At 37.4% G+C, this 21,251-nt stretch overlaps 1 annotated feature.

The window, feature by feature from the left end:
- Window positions 20,418-21,017: an enhancer, noted in NCBI's record as "H3K27ac-H3K4me1 hESC enhancer chr12:89241015-89241614 (GRCh37/hg19 assembly coordinates)". NCBI's record gives its function as "activates a minimal SCP1, AML or CMV promoter by ChIP-STARR-seq in primed H9 embryonic stem cells {active_cell/tissue: H9 hESC(primed)}" and the evidence as "EXISTENCE:reporter gene assay evidence [ECO:0000049][PMID:30033119]".

A 21,251-nucleotide genomic window follows, 5' to 3' on the forward strand; every position in this document is an offset into this window, starting at 1 on the left:
TCCATATGTGATTTTGATTCAACCTCACTTCCCTAACAACCTCAACTTCTGTCTTCAAAACTTCAGTTGAGAACCATTGGTATAAAATCCTGATAAGATATTCCCAGGTGAAATAGTAAGATCAGTTTTTAGATTGGTAAGTTTTTAGAGGTTACAAAGAATTCTAGTTGGCGTGTCTGCCAGGAAATAAAAATAAAAATGAAGAGCTCAGGAAATTTATTAGGGCTGATGATGTTGAAATGGAAGTCTTCAATGTGCAGACAATATTTTAAGTCACAGAAGTTGAAGAGATTGTCAAGGAGATTATGAATAATAGAGCTAAGGATTGAACGCAGTAAATTATCTACAAAAGGCAAGAGAGGGGTTAGCAAAGGAAACAAGTAATAGTGATAACAGAAATAGGGGAGAGCCAGGACAGTGTGAAAACATATTTAATCAAAAACAGGAGCTAAAGTGTAAGCCAAAGAGTATTAAATTCACAGGTACTTGATTTACCAAAAAAGGATTCCTCCACCAACATCTCTTCTGTATTAATGATGAAGGTGAAATCTTTTGGGGTTTTTTTAAAGGACCACATACATTATTTGATAAGAGTTGAATGTGTAATAAAGAAGATAATTATGATATTTAAAAGGGAGATTAGACTAAGGTATTTATGCACTCAGTTTCATGTCTGTAATTTATTTCCCAAAACATTATTGATCACTGTGCTTTCAAATAAAGAAAAAAATGCTGTCAATTACATTTCCAGATATCTCAACTTGAACTTCATTTAAATTGTAAAATGTTGTTGTGTCATTTGTAAACTAGTTTCAAAAAACATTGACTTTGACATAATTATATAATGACTTCTATCAGTCGACTCTTTCACAATTGTTCAATCTCAAACTTAACGTACTATAACAATCAGTAGCCTATGCATCTAAGATGCTTTATTCTTTTTTTTTTTCTTTTCCTTTTTTGTTTTCAAGAGAGATGGGGTCTCACTCCGTTGACCAGGCTGGCCTCCAACTCCTGGCCTCAAGTGATCCTCCCACCTCTTCCTCCTGAGTTGCAGGGATCACATGCATGACTCTATGTTGATATTTTCAGGTCATACTATCAAAAGTAAATAATCTCCAGGGACAACTGTAATTGTGCATGTACACATAGAGGCCAAATGGTTTCCATTGTAATCCTTAGTCAAAAGAACCAACCTGCATGATCTATATAGCAACATTGAAAGCATTAACAATTCAGTTCTGTCCAAGAAAAGTTTATTTAACATCTAAATGACGCCAGGCACTGTTCTCACCTTAAAAAAGAAAAAGAAGGAATGAATAAAAGACACAGTCTCTTTCATCAAGCAGCTCACAAAGTAGTGAGTAAAGCAAATAAATTACCAACTTCATAATTTGAAAGCTATTTCTATGTTTTTATACTTATTTAGTATTGCAAATTTCAAACAAAACATTTTTAAGTTTCTTGGTACAGCTGATTTAAGATGGCAAGCAATAAGTAAAATTAAAATGCATTTAAAAAATTAACAAGTATAAAATATAGATAATGAAATTTTCAAATTTTTTCAAATTGGTAACATTTATTTACTTGTTTTGAGGCATAGTCTCTTTCTGTCACCCAGGTGGGAGTGCAATGGTGCCATCTTGGCTCACTGCAACCTCTCTGCCTCCTTGACTCAAGTGATCCTCCCACCTCAGCCTCCCTAGTAGCTGGGACTATAGGCTCATGCCACCATGCTTAGCTAATTTTTAAATATTTTTTGGTAGAGACAAGTTCTCACTATATTGCACAGGCTGATTTCAAACTCCCAGGCTCAAGTGATCCCCCTCCTTGGCCTGCGAAAGTGCTGGGATTACAGGTGTGAGCCACTACACCTTGCTAAATTGGTAACATATTTCTGAACTTATTAAAGCTTAAGGAAAAGAGGAAGTCAAATTGTTCCTGTTTGCAGATGACATGATTGTATAATTAGAAAACCACATCGTCTCAGCCCAAAATCTCTTTAAGCTGATAAGTAACTTCAGCAAAGTCTCAGGATACAAAATCAATGTGCAAAAATCACAAACATTCTTATACACCAATAACAGACAGAGAGCCAAATCATGAGTGAACTCCCATTCACAATTGCTTCAAAGAGAATAAAATATCTAGGAATCCAACTTACAAGGGATGTGAAGGACCTCTTCAAGGAGAACTACAAACCAGTGCTCAACGAAATAAAAGAGTACACAAACAAATGGAAGAACATTCCATGCTCACAGATAGGACAAATCAATATCATGAAAATGGCCATACCGCCCAAGGTAATTTATAGATTCAATGCCATCCCCAGCAAGCTACCAATGACTTTCTCCACAGAATTGGAGAAAATGACTTTAAAGTTCATATGGAACCAAAAAAGAGCTCCCATTGCCAAGACCATCCTAAGCCAAAAGAACAAAGCTGGAGGCATCACGCTACTTGACTTCAAACTATACTACAAGACTAGAGTAACCAAAACAGCATGGTACTGTTAACAAAACAGAGATATAGACCACTGGAACAGAGCAGAGCCCTCAGGAATAACACCACACATCTACAACCATCTGTTCTTTGACAAACCTGACAAAAACAAGAAATGGGGAAAGGATACCCTATTTAATAAACGGTGCTGGAAAAACTGGCTAGCCATATGTAGAAAGCTGAAACTTGATCTCTTCCTTACACCTTATACAAAAATTAATTTAAGATGGAATAAAGACTTAAATGTTAGACCCAGAACCATAAAAATCCTAGAAGAAAACCTAGCCAATACCATTCAGGCCATAGGCATGGGCAAGGACTTCATGACTAAAACACCAAAAGCAATGGCAACAAAAGCCAAAATAGACAAATGAGATCTAATTAAACTAAAAAGCTTCTGCACAACAAAATAGACTACCATCAGAGTGAAGAGGCAACCTATAGAATGGGGGAAAAGTTTTGCAATGTACCCGTCTGACAAAGGGCTATTATCTAGAATCTGCGAAGAACTTAAACAAATTTAGAAGAAAAAATCAAACAACCCCATCAAAGAGTGGGCGAAGGATATGAACAGATACTTCTTGAAAGAAGACATTTATGCAGCCAACAGACACATGAAAAAATGCTCATCATCACTGGCCATCAGAGAAATGCAAATCAAAACTACAATGAGATATCATCTCACACCAGTTAGAATGGCAATCATTAAAAAGTCAGGAAACAACAGATGTTGGAGAGGTTGTGGAGAAATAGGAACACTTTTACACTGTTGGTGGGACTGTAAACTAGTTCAACCATTGTGGAAGACAGTGTGGTGATTCCTCAAGGATCTAGAACTAGAAATACCATTTGATCCAGCCTCCCCTTTACTGAGTATATATCCAAAGGATTATAAATCATGCTGTTATAAAGACATATGCACACGTATGTTTATTGCGGCACTTTACAAAATAGCAAAGACTTGGAACCAACCCAAATGCCCATCAGTGATAGACTGGATTAAGAAAATGTGGCACATATACACTGTGGAATACTATGCAGCCATAAAAAATGATGAGTTCATGTCCTTTGTAGGGACATGGATGAAGCTGGAAACCATCATTCTGAGCAAACTATCGCAAGGACAGAAAACCAAACACCACATGTTCTCTCTCATAGGTGGGAATTGAACAATGAGAACACTTGGCCACAGGGTGGGGAACATCACACACCGGAGCTTATTGTGGGGTCGGGGGAGAGGGGAGGGATAGCATTAGGAGATATACCTAATGTAAGTGACGAGTTCATGGGTGCAGCACACCAACATGGCACATAGATACATATGTAACAAAACTGAATGCTGTGCACATGTACCCTAGAACTTAAAGTATAATAAAATAAATAAATAAATAAAGCTTAAAAGTGTACTAATTCTTTTGGAACAGCCAGTGTACCTTGGAATATTTTTCCACACCATTTTTGTATCAGTCTAAGTTATGCTGCAGTAGCAAAATATTAGTGTCATGACACAACAAAAGTTTATTTCTTGCTCATACAAGTGCAACATGGTTCACCAGGGGCTCAGCTGATTATAGTTGCTCAGGGTCCCAAGCTAATGGAAACTCCTTCTTGATACACGTCCCTACAGTTGACCAAACAGTGACAAATAGGAGTGTAGTAAATTAAACACTAAGTTATAAAGCATTTACAGTTCACATTTCAATGCCCCGAACCAGTCACATGCCCATCCCTGTCAAAGGAAATGAGGATTGCAACTGTGCCATATTCCTGGAAAATCAGAATATATGTGAACAGCCCTAACAGCTTCCAAACAACTCCTTTTCTCTTCTTCAAAAATAGCCCTCTTGCATGTGTTATATCTCCTAAGTTATCTTCTCTGAAATTCCTCACATATATGTTTTTCACTATATTTGGTGTTATTTTCTGTAACCTATTCTCCATATTTCTGACTTTTTCTGTTGCACTTATTCCATTTTTTTGGTTGTTTCTAGAATGTTTTTCATCATGATGATATTTTTGTTTCCCCCTCATTTCTTGAGTTTTGTAAGAATTATTTTCATTCTTTTACGTGGTCTCATGATCATTTTTTTGTACACTTACATGACTCTTGATTTTTTTTCATTTCTTTCTTTTAAGATAAAAATTGTTTTTACAATTCAGTACCATAGAACTGTATGATTTAACTATTCTTGTGTTATCCAGCTGCCTTTTGCTCATGTTCCTTCCCTCTATTCTTGCTTGCTTTCAGTCTGTTTTTTTTCTCTATTTCTTTTCACACATAGCTCCCATGATAGTATCTTTCTGACTATTACTGAACTTTGAATGGTGGTGGGACTTTATGTTGAAAAGTTTGGGGATTTATTTCAAACACTACTCTCATCAAGTAAGTTATTTCCTTCACCCTAGGAGCAAATGTTCTCTTAGATTGTTAAGTGTAGCAACCTGGATCTAATAGTCTTTTAAAACTTCTTCAATCCTCCTCCCCACTGGGCTATGTCCTTTGGCAGAGAAGCTTCATCATGGACAATAGAAGTGGCATGTGCACCACCATGGTTTTTCCTTTCAGTGCTCCCTGTTTTATGATTCTGGGGTGTCAAAATTGATCTAATGGGGCATTTTAATTTAAAAAATGTTGTTTATGTCCTTTGGAATATAATTTGGGGGGACTTATTTCTGCATGTTCTTTTTTTCAGTCTAGGCGTGCTTTGTAACATGAGGTCAGGAATTATAGCAATGTCTTGGTATTAGTGAAGATTTTTTTAATTTGTCATTATTTATTATTTTAATAGGTTTTGAGGTAGGAGGGTGGAGTAAAATTGCCTATTACCCACTGCCTTAATTACACATTTTCATGTGTGTGTGTGTGTGTGTTTATATATCTTCTTCACAGGACAATGACCTATTGAAGGCAGAGCTATTACTTATCTTTTTCTCTCCAGCGCTGAACATAGTGGGTGCTCAATAAATATTTTTGAATCAAAATGAATTTAATTTCTATATATTTTATTGTCTATATCACCACTACTAGAAAGCCACATCCATCCATTTTGTGTTGCTTTTGGAAGAGAATCATCATTTCTTGTTGCTGAAAGCCAATAGATTTATGTTGCAACTCAATTTCTAGTGCTTATAAAAACTTTATTTCACTTCTACTAGGTAACTGAAAAACAGAAGCATTCCAAGAAGTATTATCAACCACAATATTAAGTGAAAGCCTATCACTTCAAGTCAATAACTATAGGAATTCAATTTGCCATGTATACCTATACTTATACCTATACCTGTATCAGCACTTCTCATGGTGATTATACAAGTGGTACAGACACACTGATGGCCAAGCATGGAAGAAGTTGGAAAGCTTCTTTCCTCTGATAAATTAGAATTCTCCAGAGAAATACAGCCAATATCATGGTTCTGCTATGAGAGAGAGAGAGAGAGAAACAGAAACATGAGAGAGAGGTGGAGGTGGGCAACAACTTTAAAGTATGCAGGGCCCGCTGGAGGCTGGAGACCCAGGGAAGTATTGTTGTTACAGTCTCAAGTCTGAAGATAATCTAGAGGTGGAGCTTCCTCTTCCTTGGGTGACTCTAGTCTTTTCTCTTTGGCCTTCGACTGATTATATGAGGATTCTCTTATTATGGAGGGTAATCTTATTTTCTCAAAGTTTAACTGTTTAAGTGTTAATCACATCTAAGAAATACCTTCACCACAACAACTAGGCTGGTGTTTAACCAAAAACTGAGTACCACAGGCTAACCGAGTCAACACAGAAAATTAGAAACCACATCTGGCATGCTTAGGAGAATTACAGATTAGCATCAATAGACCTGGCTTGAAATTCAAGTGCTGATGTGTCACATTAAGTAAACAAGAGGATTCTGTGCTATTTTATACTATATAAAGTGTCCCCCGGAGAGAAATGCAGAGGTCAAAGTCTCAAGTGGTAGTCTTTGTTGTGGTATCCAGATTTATTCTGCTTAATAAATATGTTATTGTAAAAAAATTATTGATAACTTAAGGCATCCAGAAAGTAGCACATTTATGGAAAATGGCAACATCATTTTTGGAGCTGAGCCCGCCTTTATCATCTTAATTCCCACACTTTAGATGATGGATAATTTAGAACTCACTCTTATGTGTGCTTTGGTTAAATGTTGAGATTTATAATGTTTCATAATCAGCCTGTAAAATGAGTCTCAATTTCACATAAGCTGAATGAGGACTAAAAATCAAGCAACAAATATGAGGATTATTTCCATTACACCCCCTTTGAAAAATGACACTTTGCTGCCATATGAAGGGTTCTCTAAGCTTTAATACTGAACAGAGATTTAAAAGGATTAACATCAACCACCTTCCAGTAAACACACAAAATGCATTTCAACATCTAGTATTTCATCTTTATTTGAGTACTTTCAAATTGTAATGCTCTAGTCATGTAGAAAGACTGGCTGGCATTGTCTATTACTGTTCCTACTAAGTTATTCACAGTTCTGTGGTGAACTTTTTTCAGCAAGTTTTTCAGGTCTTTTGTTTCAGCTGCTGGTTTTTGTCTTGCTTACATTAGTTAGTCAGATTTATGGTGCTGTATGCAGGGGTTCCCACCATGCATGTCATTATTACTAATGTGTCTCCCTTTAGCAAACCATGTTTATAACTTAGCCAATTAGTTGCTTTGCCCAACTCTTTGAATTCCTAGGACTTACACTTCACTGAAATAGCACTTCTTATTGCCAAGGCACTTTGTAAAACACTTGACTCTATTTTCATGTATACCTATTTTTAGAGCCCACAGTGGAATTGAACAGACCTGTTTCTTGATTGCTTATTTTGCCCAGACATTTATTTGGAAGATGTTCATTCTTTTTGGGCTTCCACAGATGCCCCATTTGTTCATTCAACATCTTCTAGTGCACCAAATATGGACATGACCAGCTTGCTCACAGATGAAATAAAAGTTAACACTTTATTACCATGAAAGTAGTTGCAATGTTGGTCCTGTTAATACACAAACTTTTGCTTTTAGTTTCCTCCAACTATGTGGAGTACTATCCTTGCCCTTCAATGACAAAGTATTTCTCGCAATAACTTTCAAATGAGTGATCATGACTCACTTTTGCACAGGGAAAAATGAAATGATTTTATCTTTAAAATAAATGATGATCAAGGATAATGATGATGCCATAACCCAGTTTCTTTAGGATGTCACAGATATAGTAAGATTTGAGGGATGCTGAAAACCTGCTTGCTTCAACATGTCTCCCCATTAACCTGGTCAGTGCCTCATATATCATCTTGGGTTATTTGACATGTAAAAAAATATATTCAGAAACTACAACGGGTTAATATTCTCATCCATGAATGTATTGTGTCACAACTTCATGAAGAATTCTATGATGTCTTCAGACAAAGTATAACTTCTTAGAACTTTTTGAGTTGCCTACATCTACTATTTTATGGAACTCATTACATAATTCAAGTTTTTGTATTTATTTTTATTATGTCTATCTTATTCAATTTGACTGTAAAGTCCTTGAGGGTAAGGTAGATGTCTGAAGTTTTCTTTAATATGCTCCACAGTAAATAGCAAAGTATTGTGCATATTGTGGTTGCTCAAAAACCTGTTGAATAACTGGAAAAAAGACATATTAATGGTGATTAGCTTATTGGTTTAGCTAGGGAATAGAGATATAGGTACAGAGATAAACATAATATGATGGTAAAAAAAAATCTAGGTTGCTGTTATGAATGTTAGTCTCCAGTCAAAGTGATAAAAATAATTGATTGAAGTAGAACTTCCTGGATGACAGAGTAAGGACCTTGCTAACTCTTCTCCATTAAAAACAAAGAAAATGTTATCAAAATTATCAAAATTAACCATTTCAGAACTCTAGAAATTAACCAAAGGCATACAACAAAGTAGAAAATGTTTAGCAAAACTATTAGATTTTTATAACAAAAATAGAGTCTGTGGCATTTTATTTTGGGGATATTTCCATCCCAAACCCAGGTCCATGGCATGGTAGCTCTCCTAACCATCAGCCTTGCACCCACCGGATGCAGCTGATCCATTTTGGAACTCTGCAAATTATACCATTCCCCAGAGTGTTCTCTGTATTTGACTATACTTAGAGTTCTCTGGAAAAGTCCCATTTCCAGGGCATTGTTGCTATTTAGCCTGACTTGGGGGTCAGCTCAACAGAAAAGCCTCATTTTCAGATCATTGTCAAAAACAAGTACAATTATCTGCAATAATTAATATTACAACTGCTTAAGATTGCAAGTATCAGTTGGTCAAGAATTTGCAAGGAAGATCTAAGCAATGACACAACCCTAAAGGGTTTTGAAAAGCCTCAATCCATTACTAGCGATCTAGAAGTCCTAGTACTTGTATGCCTGCGCACGTGCTCAGGAAAGACTGAATGGAGCACTAGTTATTTATTCATATGGGGTGACTTTGGTGAACACTGCAAGCAGGAAGTGAAAGCTAATGCAGATGTGTAAACTGATTAAACTTTGAAGGTGTGCCCCCATGTACGCGTATCCCTTAGAACAGTGTGGAAGATTTAGTGGCTCAAAGAAATATTTTGCCCAATCACTGACTGATCACTAGGCTATGCTGACCTGGGGTGAATTCAATAAATACAGATTTTAAAATACAAGCAATGAAGTAAATAAACTGATAGAAAAATAAGTGAAAAGCAAATATTTCATTGGCTACACACTGTGGGGAATATATACCCTACAGCATTAGTCTTGGAAAGTCAGTAAATAAACAAACAACTGCAGCAACAGCAACAACAACAAAACAGCACTAACAAAAGGGGGTCTGATTTGAGAATTGCTACAATATACAGACAATTTCCATTATACAGAGATTTCATACTTTTGAATTTCCCTACTTGCTAAAATCTATTTGTAACTCCAAAATCAATACTTGAAGTACTTTCACAGTTGTTCACATGACTGTAAATGTACAGAGTGATGAAAGGTTTGAGTACCCAATGTGCAAGTTCTTAGCTGAGATCAAAGACGACATTCTCTGCATTCTTATTTTACCTCTCATACAAAGATGGCCACAGGATTAAGACAGTAGTAGGGCAGCCTCAGGCAAGTCACTTAACAATTGTGAACCTTGTTCCTTGTTTTCTCTTTTGCAAATTGTTTTTAAAAAGTCTGTCAGGATAAATTGTTTTCAGTTGTCAAAATTCTAATCTATGTGGTATATATAATGTGTGCATGTGTGTGTGTAAGCAGAAACACACACACATATGTGTGTGTATATATATGTGTGTGTATATATATACATGTATATATACATATATATGTGTGCATATATATATGTGTATATATACACACACATATACATATATCCCACAGGAGCTATATATGTGTTATTGCCCACGTGGGATATATGTATATGTGTATATATATACATTTAGCCTGTATGTATATGTATTATACACATATATATACATATACATACATATACACATATATATACACATACATATATATGCACATATATACACACATGTATACATACACACATATACATATATCACACATAGGCAATTATATATATATACACACACATGTATACATATATATATACACACACACACACACAAACACACATATACATATATCCCACAGGAGAAACAATACAATATTCTCTAATTCAGCATTTGCAGTAACTTTATAGAGCATAACTACCATAAATAAAGAGAATCAACTATATTATCTAAATTCTTCCTTTCAATCAAAAATCAGAACATGAAATAAACAGGAAAATACAGCACATAACAGAAAAAAGCAAACAAACAAAACAGTCCACAGAAACAGTCTTTGAGGGAGTCCAGATGCTGCACTAAAAGAAACCATCTTAAACCAGGTTCAATAAAAGAAAAGTCAACAAAGAGAGAGAAATTATAGAAACACTAACCAATAGATATTTTGGACTTAGAAAATATAAGAACTGCAATGAAAAATTATGTAGAAGGGTTTGGCAGCAGATTTGACCTGGCAGAAGAATCAGTGAACTTGAAGTTAGAAGAAATAATCAGTAAACTTAAATATAAATTAATTGAGATTCTTCACTCTTAGGAACACAAAGAAAAATGAATGGAGAAAAATTAAAACAGAGAACTGTGGGACACCATTAAGTGTTCCAGCATATGTAAAATGGCAGTCCTAGAAGGAAAGGAGTGGGAAAAAGACATAAAAAGAAAAATGTTTGAAGAAATGATGCCCCAAAACTGTTTAAATTGATTGGAAACATTAACCTACAAATCCAAAAATTCAATAAACAACCTTTGAGCAGGAAAAACTCAAAGAGCTCCAACCCAGACACAACATAGTCATAGTGCTGAATATCAGTGACACAGGCAATATCTTGAAAGCAGTAAGATAAAATAACTCAAGTGCTCCTTGATAATATTAATAACTGACTTCTCACAGAAACCAAGAGCAGCAGAAGGTGGAATAATATATTTGAAGTGTTGAAAGAAAAAGGTGGTCAATCAACATTATATATCTAACAAAACTAATCTTCAAAAGGGTATTAGTCCATTTTCACATTGCTGTAAGGAAATACCTGACACTGGGTAATTTATAAAGGAAAGAGGTTTAATTGACTCATAGTCCTGCATGGCTGGGAGGCCTCAGGAACACACAATCATGGCATAACACAAAGGGGAAGAAAGGGCCTTCTTTACAAGGCATCAGGAGAGAGAGAGAGAGAGAGCAAAAAAAGCCCATTATAAAACCATCAGATCTTGTGAGAATTCACTTATTATCATGAGAACAGCATGGGAAACACCACCCCCATGATTCAATCACCTCCCACCAAGTCTATCCCTCAACACATATGGATTACAGTTTGAGATGAGATTTGGGTGGGGACACAGAGGCAAGCCATATTATTCCACCCCTGGACCCTCCCAAATCTCATGCCCTTTTTACATTTCAAAACCAACCATGCCTTCCCAGCAGTCCTCCAAAGTCTTAACTCACTCCAGCATTAACCCAAAAGTCCAAGTCCAAAGTTTTATCTGAGACAAGTCAAGTCCCTTCTCCCTATGAGCCCATGGACTCAAAAACAACTAGTTACTTCCTAGATACAATGAGGGTACAGGTATTGGTTAAATGCTCCCATTTCAAATGGGAGAAATTGGCCAAAACAAAGGGGCTACAGGCCCCATGCAAGTCCAAAATCCAGTGGGGCAGTCATTACATCTTAAAGCTCCAAAATGATCTCCTTTGACTCCATGTCTTACATCCACGGCATGCTGATGCAAAAGGTGGGATTCCATGGTTTGGGGCAGCTTCAGCCCTGTGACTTTTCAGGATACAGCCCCCTCTCAGCTGCTTTCACAGGCTGGCATTGAGTTTCTGTGGATTTTCCTGGCACACATTGTAAGCTATCATTGGGTCTACCATTCTGAGATCTGAAAGATGGTGGCCCTCTTCTCACAGCTCCACTAGACAGTGCCCCAATGGGAACTCTCTGTGGAGCTCCCACCTCACATTTCTTTTTCACACTGCTCTAGCAGAGGTTCTCCATGAGGGCTCTGCCCCTGCAGCAAACTTCTGCCTGGACATCCAGGCATTTCCATACATCCTTTGAAATCTAGGTGAAGGTTCCCCTTCCTCAATTCTTGACTTCTGTGCAACCACAGGCAAAACACCATCTGGAAGCCACCAAGGCTCAGGCTTTGCATCCTCTGAAGTAACAGCCTGAGCTGTATGTTGGCTCTGTTTAGCCACGGCCTGGACACAGGGTGCCAAGTCCAGAGGCTGTACAGAACAGTAGAGGAGGCCCCTGGTAAAGGAAATCATTTTTCCCTCCTAGGCCTCTGGGTCTTTGATGAGAGGGGCTGCAGTGAAGGTCTCTGGCATGCCCTGGAGACATTTTCCCCATTGTTTTGGCAAGTAACATTTGGCTCCTCATTACTTATGCAAATTTCTGCAGCCAGTTTAAATTCCTCCCTAGAAAATGGGTTTTTCTTTTCTATTGCATCATCAGGCTGCAAATTTTCCAAACTTTTTTGCTCTCCTTCCCTTTTAAACATAAGTTGCAATTTTAAACCATCTCTTTGTTAATACATAAAACTGAATGCTTTCAGAATAAACCAGGTCACATCTTGAATGCTTTCCTGCTTAGAAATTTCTTCTGCCAGATACCCTAAATCATCTCTCTCAACTTCAAAGTTTCACAGATCTCTAGGCTAGGGCAAGGGCAAAATGCCACCAGTCTATTTGCTAAAGCATAGCATGAGTGACCTTACTCCGTTCCCAATAAGGACCTCATCTCCATCTGAGACCACCTTAACCTGGATGTCATTGTTTACGTCACTGTCAGCATTTTGGGCTAAGCCATTTAACAAGTCTCTAGAAAGCTTCAAACTTTCCCACATTTTCCTGTCTTCTTCTGAGCCCTCCAAACTATTCCAACTCCTGCCTGTTACCCAGTTCTAAAGTCACTTCCACATTTTTGGGTATCTTTATAGCAGTGACCCATTCTTTGTGGTACCAATGTACTGTATTAGCCTTTTTTCACCCTTCTATTAAGAAATACCTGAGACTGGGCAATTTATAGAGGAAACGGGCTTAATTTACTCACAGTTTCATATGGCTGGGGTGGCCTTAGTAACATACAATCACGGTGGAAGGAAAAAGGGAAGCAAGAACCTTCTTCACAAGGCAGTAAGAGAAAGAGAAAGACAGAGAGGGCAGAGAGCAAAGCAGGAAGAGCAAAGGGAGAAGAGCCCTTATAAAACCATCAGATCTCATGGGAACTCACTATCACGAGAATAGTATGGGGGAAATTGCCCCCATGATCCAATCACTTCCTACCAGGTTTGTCCCTCGACGTGAGGATTACAGTTTGAGATGAGATTTGGGTGGGGACACAGAGCCAAGCCATATCAAAAATGAAGAAATCAAGACATTTCCATATAGGCAAAGACTGAGATAATTTGTTGTTTGCCCAACTTTTTGACAGAAAATTCCAAACACAGCCTTTTAGGCTAAAAAGGAAGGATATCAGATGGTAACTCAGCACCACACATAAAAATAAAGAGCATGAGTAGAGATATGTAAACAGAGAAATATTAACTTTTTCTTATTTTAAAAGACAACTGCATAAAACAATAATTATAAAATAGTGTTGATAGGCTTATAAAATATAAACATTTAACTTGTGTGATGATCATAGCACAAAGGAGGAAAGAGAAAAGAAGCTTTATTTGAGCAAAGTTTTAATACACTAGTGGAATTAATTTAGTCTTAATCTGAGGTAGATTGTTTTAGGCTAAAATGCACATTGTAATCTCCAGGGCAACTACCAAGAAAATAAATATAAAAATATAGTTTAAAAAAAAAACAAAGAAGAGAGTGAAACAAGATGGTGAAATAAAATGTTCCACTGATTGTTCCCTCCTCAGGAATACCAAATTTTATCAACTATCTGCATACAAAAAAAGCACCTTTAGAAGAACCAAACATCAGGTGAGCAATTACGATAACAGGTTTTAACTTCATACTGCTAAAAGAGACATTAAAGAGGATAAGAGAGACAGTCTTGAATCACTTGTGAACCCAGAACATTTGAGACAGGTCTCAGTTAATTTAGAAAGTTTATTTTGCCAAGGTTGAAGACGCACCTGTGACACAGTCTCAGAAAGTCCTGATGACATGTGCACAAGGTGGTAGGTGTACAGCTTGATTTTATACATTTTAGGGAGACATGAAACACCAATCAATATATGTAAGAAGTACATTAGTTCAATCCAGAAAGGCGGAGACAACTCAAAGCAAGGTCCCCCACTAGGGGCTTCCAGGTCACAGGTAGGTGAGAGACAGATGGTTGCATTATTTTGAGTTTCTGATAAGTCTTTCCAAAAGAGGCAATCAGAATATGCATCTATCTGTGAGCAGAGGGATGACTTTGAACAGAATTGGGGGCAGATTTGTCCTGACTGGTTCCCAGCTTGAAGGCACCCAAGGTTCTTTCCTCCCACATTTCTCGCCTTTTCTTTTTAAAATATTTTGGAGAAAGCATTTAACAAGAAAATGAATCCCTGGTCTCAAGTTTCATATGATCTCTCATGGCTAGGATGGTTTATTTCTAGATGAATAGGTCCTGAAAGCTCATTTTTAGCACACTGTAAAGTCTCATGTCCTGTGAAGAGAAAATAGTGGAAAGGAAGGAAGAAAAAACAACAACGAACAAAAGAACAATCCTGGGAGAATCAATATAGGTCACATTACTCTGAAATCCACATATTAATAGGCAGGTATAAAAGTGACTTACGTATGTAAACAGTTTACCTTTTTTTTTTTTTTTTTTGAAGTTTAAGTTGTCTGGCTTTAGTTCCTAGGGTTTTAAGAAAGCACAACTTAGTATTCAGTGATTCTAAATTAAAAATAAAAAGAAGAAAAAAATTGAAAACACTATTTTGAAGACTTGTAGCCAAGAAAAATTAGAATGTGGTCCAAACTGTAGAAAATAATAAAAATTAGAAAAAACAAAACAAACAACATTTGGCAAGGCTAGAATCTAAAAACAGGTGTAAATCATCTTAAAACATAATTTTCTTTCTCTCTCTAGATTCCCAGTTTACTAAAGACAAATCATGGTAGGGCTGGTTTGCTTGTTATAATTAGCCTAATTACTTGTATACATTGCAGCAATAATAATTATTTTTTCATGGGCTTTTAAATTGGCTTTGATGGAACTTGTTTCATAGGAGGATCCTCAAATAAGACTTTTGAAAGCCAAGCCCAGCCCAGCCATGGAATTGTGCCATCAAATACCCATGAGTTGGGTGAATTTCCTCTCCTCTTGAGGTTCCAAGATAAACCTGGGGCTTCTGCACCTTTCAGAAAGTGACATTTGTTTGGGAGAAAATATAGGGAAGAGAACAAGTGTCTCTGCTGGGTCATCCAGAGAATTCTTCTAGATCTCATCCAAGACCACCAAGGTGGTACCTCTATGAGTCTTCAAGAACCATGGCATTACTGAGTTTGGGGCCCAAATTCCTTCGAATACCTGGACAACCTTGCCAAGAAAGATGAGCACAGGTTGTGAAGTCCAGATTGCAAACACTACAATAAATACCTAACTCTTCGATGTCCAGCATCAAAATCATTCAGGAAAACATAACATCATCTACAAGCATCAAAATCATCCACGAAAACATGACATCACCAAATGAATTAAATAAGACACCAGGGATCAATCCTGGAAAAACAGAGATATGTGACCTTTCAGACACATACCTGTGTCTGAACATAGCTGTTTTGAGGAAATTCAAAGAAATTCAGATAGCACAGAGAAGGAATTCAGAATTCTATCAGATAAATTTAACAAAGAGGTTGAAATAATTAAAAAAAATCAAAGAGAAATTCTAGAGCTGAAAAATGCAATTGACATACTGAAGAATGTATCAGAGTTTCTTAATAGCAGAATTGATCAGGCAGAATAAAAAATTAGTGAGCTTGAAGACAAGCTATTTGAAAATACACAGTCAAAGGAAACAAAAAAAAAATAAAGAAGAATGAAGCATGCCTACAAGAACTAGAAGATAGCCTCAAAAGGGCAAATCTAAGAGTTATTGGCCTTAAAGAGGAAGTAGAGAAAGAGATAGGAGTAGAAAGTTTATTCAAAGGGATAATATCAAATAAGTTTCCAAACCTAGAGAAACATATCAATATTCAAGTACAAGAAAGTTATAGAACACCAAGAAGATTTAGCCCAAAGACTACTACCTCAAGGCATTTAATAATCAAAATCTCAAATATTAAGGAAAAAAATGACCCTAAAAGCAGTTAGAGAAAAGAAACAAATAGCATACAATGGAGCTCCAATACTTCTGGCAGCAAGCTTTTTAGTGGAAACCTTACAGACCGGGAGAGACTGGCATGACATGGTGACTGAAGGAAGAAAACTTTTACCCTAGAATAGTATATCTGGCTAAAAAAATATCCTTTAAGTGTGAAGGAGAAATACAGACTTTCCCAGACAAACAGAAGCTGAGGGATTTCATCAACACCATACCTGTCCTATGATAAATAATAAAGGGAGTTCTTCAATGTAAAAGAAAAGAACATTAATGAGCAATAAGAGATTATCCAAAGGTACAAAATTCACTAGTAATAGTAAGCACACACAAAAAACACAAGACATTATAACACTGTAACTACTGTTTGTAAACTACTCTTATCTTAAGTAGAAAGACTAAACAATAAACCAATGTAAAATATAACTACAACTTTTCAAGATACAGACAATGTGGTAAGACATTAAGAAAACACAAAAAGTTAAAAAGTGAGGAGACAAAGTTAAAATGTAGAGTTTTTCTTTGTTTTCTTTTTGCTTCTTTTTTAGTTTGTTTGCTGATGCAATCAGTATTAAGTTGTCATCAGTTTAAAATAATGGATTATAAGATAGTATTTGCAAGCTTCATGGTAAACTAAGGTAATCAGTATTTGCAAGCTTTATGGTAACCTGAGGTAACCATGGTAATCTAAAAACATACCATAGATACACACACACAAAAAAGCAAGAAATTAAATCATGCTACCAGAGAAAATCACCTTCACTAAAAGGAATACAAGAAGAAAAAAAAAAAAAAAAACAAGCGAGGACCACAAAACAGCCAGCAAACAAATAACAAAATGGCAAGAATGTCCTTATTTATCAATAATAACATTGCATGTTAATGGACTAAACACTTCAATAAACGACATAGCATGGCTAAACGAATTTAACAACATTAACAAAAAAAAAAAGACCCAATGATTTTTTCTGTTACCTATAAGAAACACTACCTATAAAGATACATATAGACTGAAAATAAAGGGATGGCATAAAAACCGAGCAGTACAACAGAACAGAGAACCCAGAAACAAATTTCTGTATCTACGTTGAACTCATTTTCAACAAAGGCACCAAGAACATACATTGGGGAACAGACGGTCTCCTCAATAAATGGGGCGCGGAAAACTAGATATCCATACGCATAAGAACGAAGCTAGACCCCATCTCTTGCCATATACAAAAATCAAATCAAAATGCATTAAACACTTAAATGTAGGACCTCAAACAATGAAGCTACTAAAAGAAAACACTGGGGAAGCCATCCAGGATATTGTTCTAAACAACAACTTTATGAAGTAATACCCCGCAAGCCTAGGCAAACCAAAGCAAAAATGGACAGGTATAGCTCCGCCCAAGAGGGTGGGGCTCCTGCCTGCTGCATAGAGCAGGAGGCCTGTGTCTGCGGCCATGGCTTGGGCAGCTGCAGTGTACCCGGGGAGCTCCCACCCCAACTCAAAAGGGGTGGGACTCTCATGGGCCCCGTGGAGTGTGCAGCCGTAGCGGAGCTTCCCTGCTGCAGCTGGTGTGATGGCAGCAGCCACTACCATCAGTAACACGTGACCAATTCTGACAATGATATAAGCAAAAGTGATGTGTGTAATTTATGGACCAAACATTTCACAGCCAATTTGAGATCCTCCTCAACTCTCCCTTTTTTTTCCCAACAAACATTCTAGATGCTGGCTGCTCTTTCATACTGTGTCCCTGAGTGCCTACAAAGGCAAATAAGGGCACCCACAAAGGAAAGTAGATGATAGAAATGGTAAGATCGGTCATTTTTCATAAAATGAGTTATATTGGGTTTACATAAGTTATCTAAATTTGGAAATAACTGAATCTGATTATTTGATTAGCTTCTCAAATAAATGAGCTGTATCATCATTTCAAGGGTATATTTACTTATTTTGGCACATACTGATAAAAATATTTCTTAAGAATCAGACTCAAGCTAACAATATAGGATGAAATAAAAGTGATACATGTAAAGCTGGTTTGTTACTCAAATAAACACTAAGGTTTTAACATGTATTCTTCACTTAGTTTCAGCTTTATAAGAACTGGATCTCTGCTAGAACTACTTTCTGGAAATGGCCTGGTTGCTGGTTTTGACCATTATAAAGGTATCTTCTGTTCGTGCAAGCTTTGGATTAGAGCAAATCTAAATAAACACTTTATATCTAAGCAATATAAGCTGAGGTGGATATAGCTAAGAGGAAATTAAACCAATTTGGAGGACTGTTCCCTACGTGTATATTTAATGTGTAAATTCATTTCTTATTTCTATTTTTCTTCATATTAAGTTGGTTAATTTTTAAAAAATATAAAAATTGGCAGAGACAATTTTATTTTGGTTCCCTTGGTCAGAACCCACTGAAACTACAAATAAATGAAAAATAGAAGGAACATTTATGTTGTCCTCAATGAAGGAGGAAATAGCTACGCACTAAAATATACAAAGTGCTCCGACCAACTACATTAAAATTGGCCCAAACTGAACAAAACTTAGAGCTGGTATACAATTTTTCAGAATTTGAGAAGAGAGCTAATCTTTCTAAAAGTGTTAGTCCTATTCAAATATCTTGAATGAAATGGTGAGATTTTGAGGTGTGACTAAAGCATAGCAGGAATAAGGAGCATCATCACATAAATTCAGCTGGACACAGCATAATAGTGATGAATGCAGAGACTGCAGAGTGGAAAAAGAAACTATATTTACTTCCAGTTTTCATTTTCTATGAATTATAACCCTAGATAAGCTTCTTGATGAAAAGTGGGACATGATATGGAAGTAGGGCAGTAATTTCTATGTCTTTGCGTCAAAATCCTGTAGTATAAGGGCTTTGTTTTATGCTATCTGAAGCCCTTAAACATCAAAAACTTTAAAAATATAGTTAAGGAAAAAATTAATTATCAGGGTAAAGGAAACTAAATGTTTGACAAGGTGGTTTCAAACCAATAAATCAGAAACAAAATCATTAACTACCCCAGCTTACTCCCCCTATACCACCCACCTAATTATTTTTTTTTAAAGGTTTCATTTAAAAATGAGTAATAGGCTGTGGGTGGTGGCTCACACCTGTAATGCCAGCACTTTGGGAGTCCAAGGCAGGAGAATCACTTGAGCCCAGGAGTTGTAGACCAGGAGTTGTGCCCCAACCATGGGGCAACATGACAAAACCCCATCTCTACGAAAAAATAAAAAAAAATTTAGCTGAGCGTGGTGATGCGCACCTGTAGTCCCAGCTACTGAGGAGGCTGAGGTGGGAGGCTTGCTTGAGCCTGGAAGGTTGAGGCTGCAGAGAGTCATGATGGTGCCACTGCACTGCAGCCTGGATGACAAAGCAAGACCTTGTCTCAAAAAAAAAAAAAAAAGTAATAATTCAAAACAAAACACAGAACCTAAGCATAAATACTGAAAATCAATACAGAAAGTGTATCTAAGCTAAAAAGCAAATAAAAGATCTACATCATATGAGGATGTATTTAAAAAAACTAGAGGCATATAATGAAAATATTTTGTTCTCATAATTTCAAAGACATTGAATAAAGTGACATATTAACCTGAATAAAAAAGAACCTCAAATAATAGGAAAATGTAATGAGACAATAAGAATATTTCAAAAGGAAATTTATGAATCGTGACAAAGAAATTGTAAAGAACAATAAATCAATTAAAAAATAAAAGCCCCTTTACACTACAGAGGATATAAATAAAGAGAACACTAGTAACTAGAAAATATAATCAAGCATAGGTTGAGAGATTGGAGTAAAACACATATATACTGGGGAGGAGCCAAGATGGCCGAATAGGAACAGCTCCGGTCTACAGCTCCCAGCGTGAGCGACGCAGAAGACGGGTGATTTCTGCATTTCCATCTGAGGTACCGGGTTCATCTCACTAGGGAGTGCCAGACAGTGGGCGCAGGTCAGTGGGTGCGCGCACCGTGCGCGAGCCAAAGCAGGGCGAGGCATTGCCTCACTCGGGAAGCACAAGGGGTCAAGGAGTTCCCTTTCCAAGTCAAAGAAAGGGGTGACTGACGCACCTGGAAAATCGGGTCACTCCCACCTGAATACGGCGCTTTTCTGACAGGCTTAAAAAATGGTGCACCATGAGATTATATTCCGCACCTGGCTCGGACGGTCCTACGCCCATGGAGTCTCCTTGATTGCTAGCACAGCAGTCTGAGATCAAACTGCAAGGCGGCACCGAGGCTGGGGGAGGGGCGCCCGCCATTGCCCAGGCTTGCTTAGGTAAACAAAGCAGTGGGAAGCTCGAACTGGGTGGAGCCCACCACAGCTCAAGGAGGCCTGCCTGCCTCTGTAGGCTCCACCTCTGGGGGCAGGGCACAGACAAACAAAAAGACAGCAGTAACCTCTGTAGACTTAAATGTCCCTGTCTGACAGCTTTGAAGAGAGCAGTGGTTCTCCCAGTACGCAGCTGGAGATCTGAGAAGGGGCAGACTGCCTCCTCAAGTGGGTGCCTGACCCCTGACCCCCGAGCAGCCTAACTGGGAGGCACCCCCCAACAGGGGCACACTGACACCTCACACGGCAGGGTACTCCAACAGACCTGCAGCTGAGGGTCCTGTCTGTTAGAAGGAAAACTAACAAACAGAAAGGACATCCACACCAAAAACCCATCTGTACATCACCATCATCAAAGACCAAAAGTAGATAAAACCACAAAGATGGGGAAAAAACAGAACAGAAAAACTGGAAACTCTAAAAAGCAGAGCGCCTCTCCTCCTCCAAAAGAATGCAGTTCCTCACCAGCAACGGAACAAAGCTGGATGGAGAATGACTTTGATGAGCTGAGAGAAGAAGGCTTCAGACGATCAAATTACTCTGAGCTATGGGAGGACAT

The sequence above is a fragment of the Homo sapiens genome, chromosome 12 (assembly GCF_000001405.40).
Source record: "Homo sapiens chromosome 12, GRCh38.p14 Primary Assembly".
NCBI lineage: Eukaryota > Metazoa > Chordata > Mammalia > Primates > Hominidae > Homo > Homo sapiens.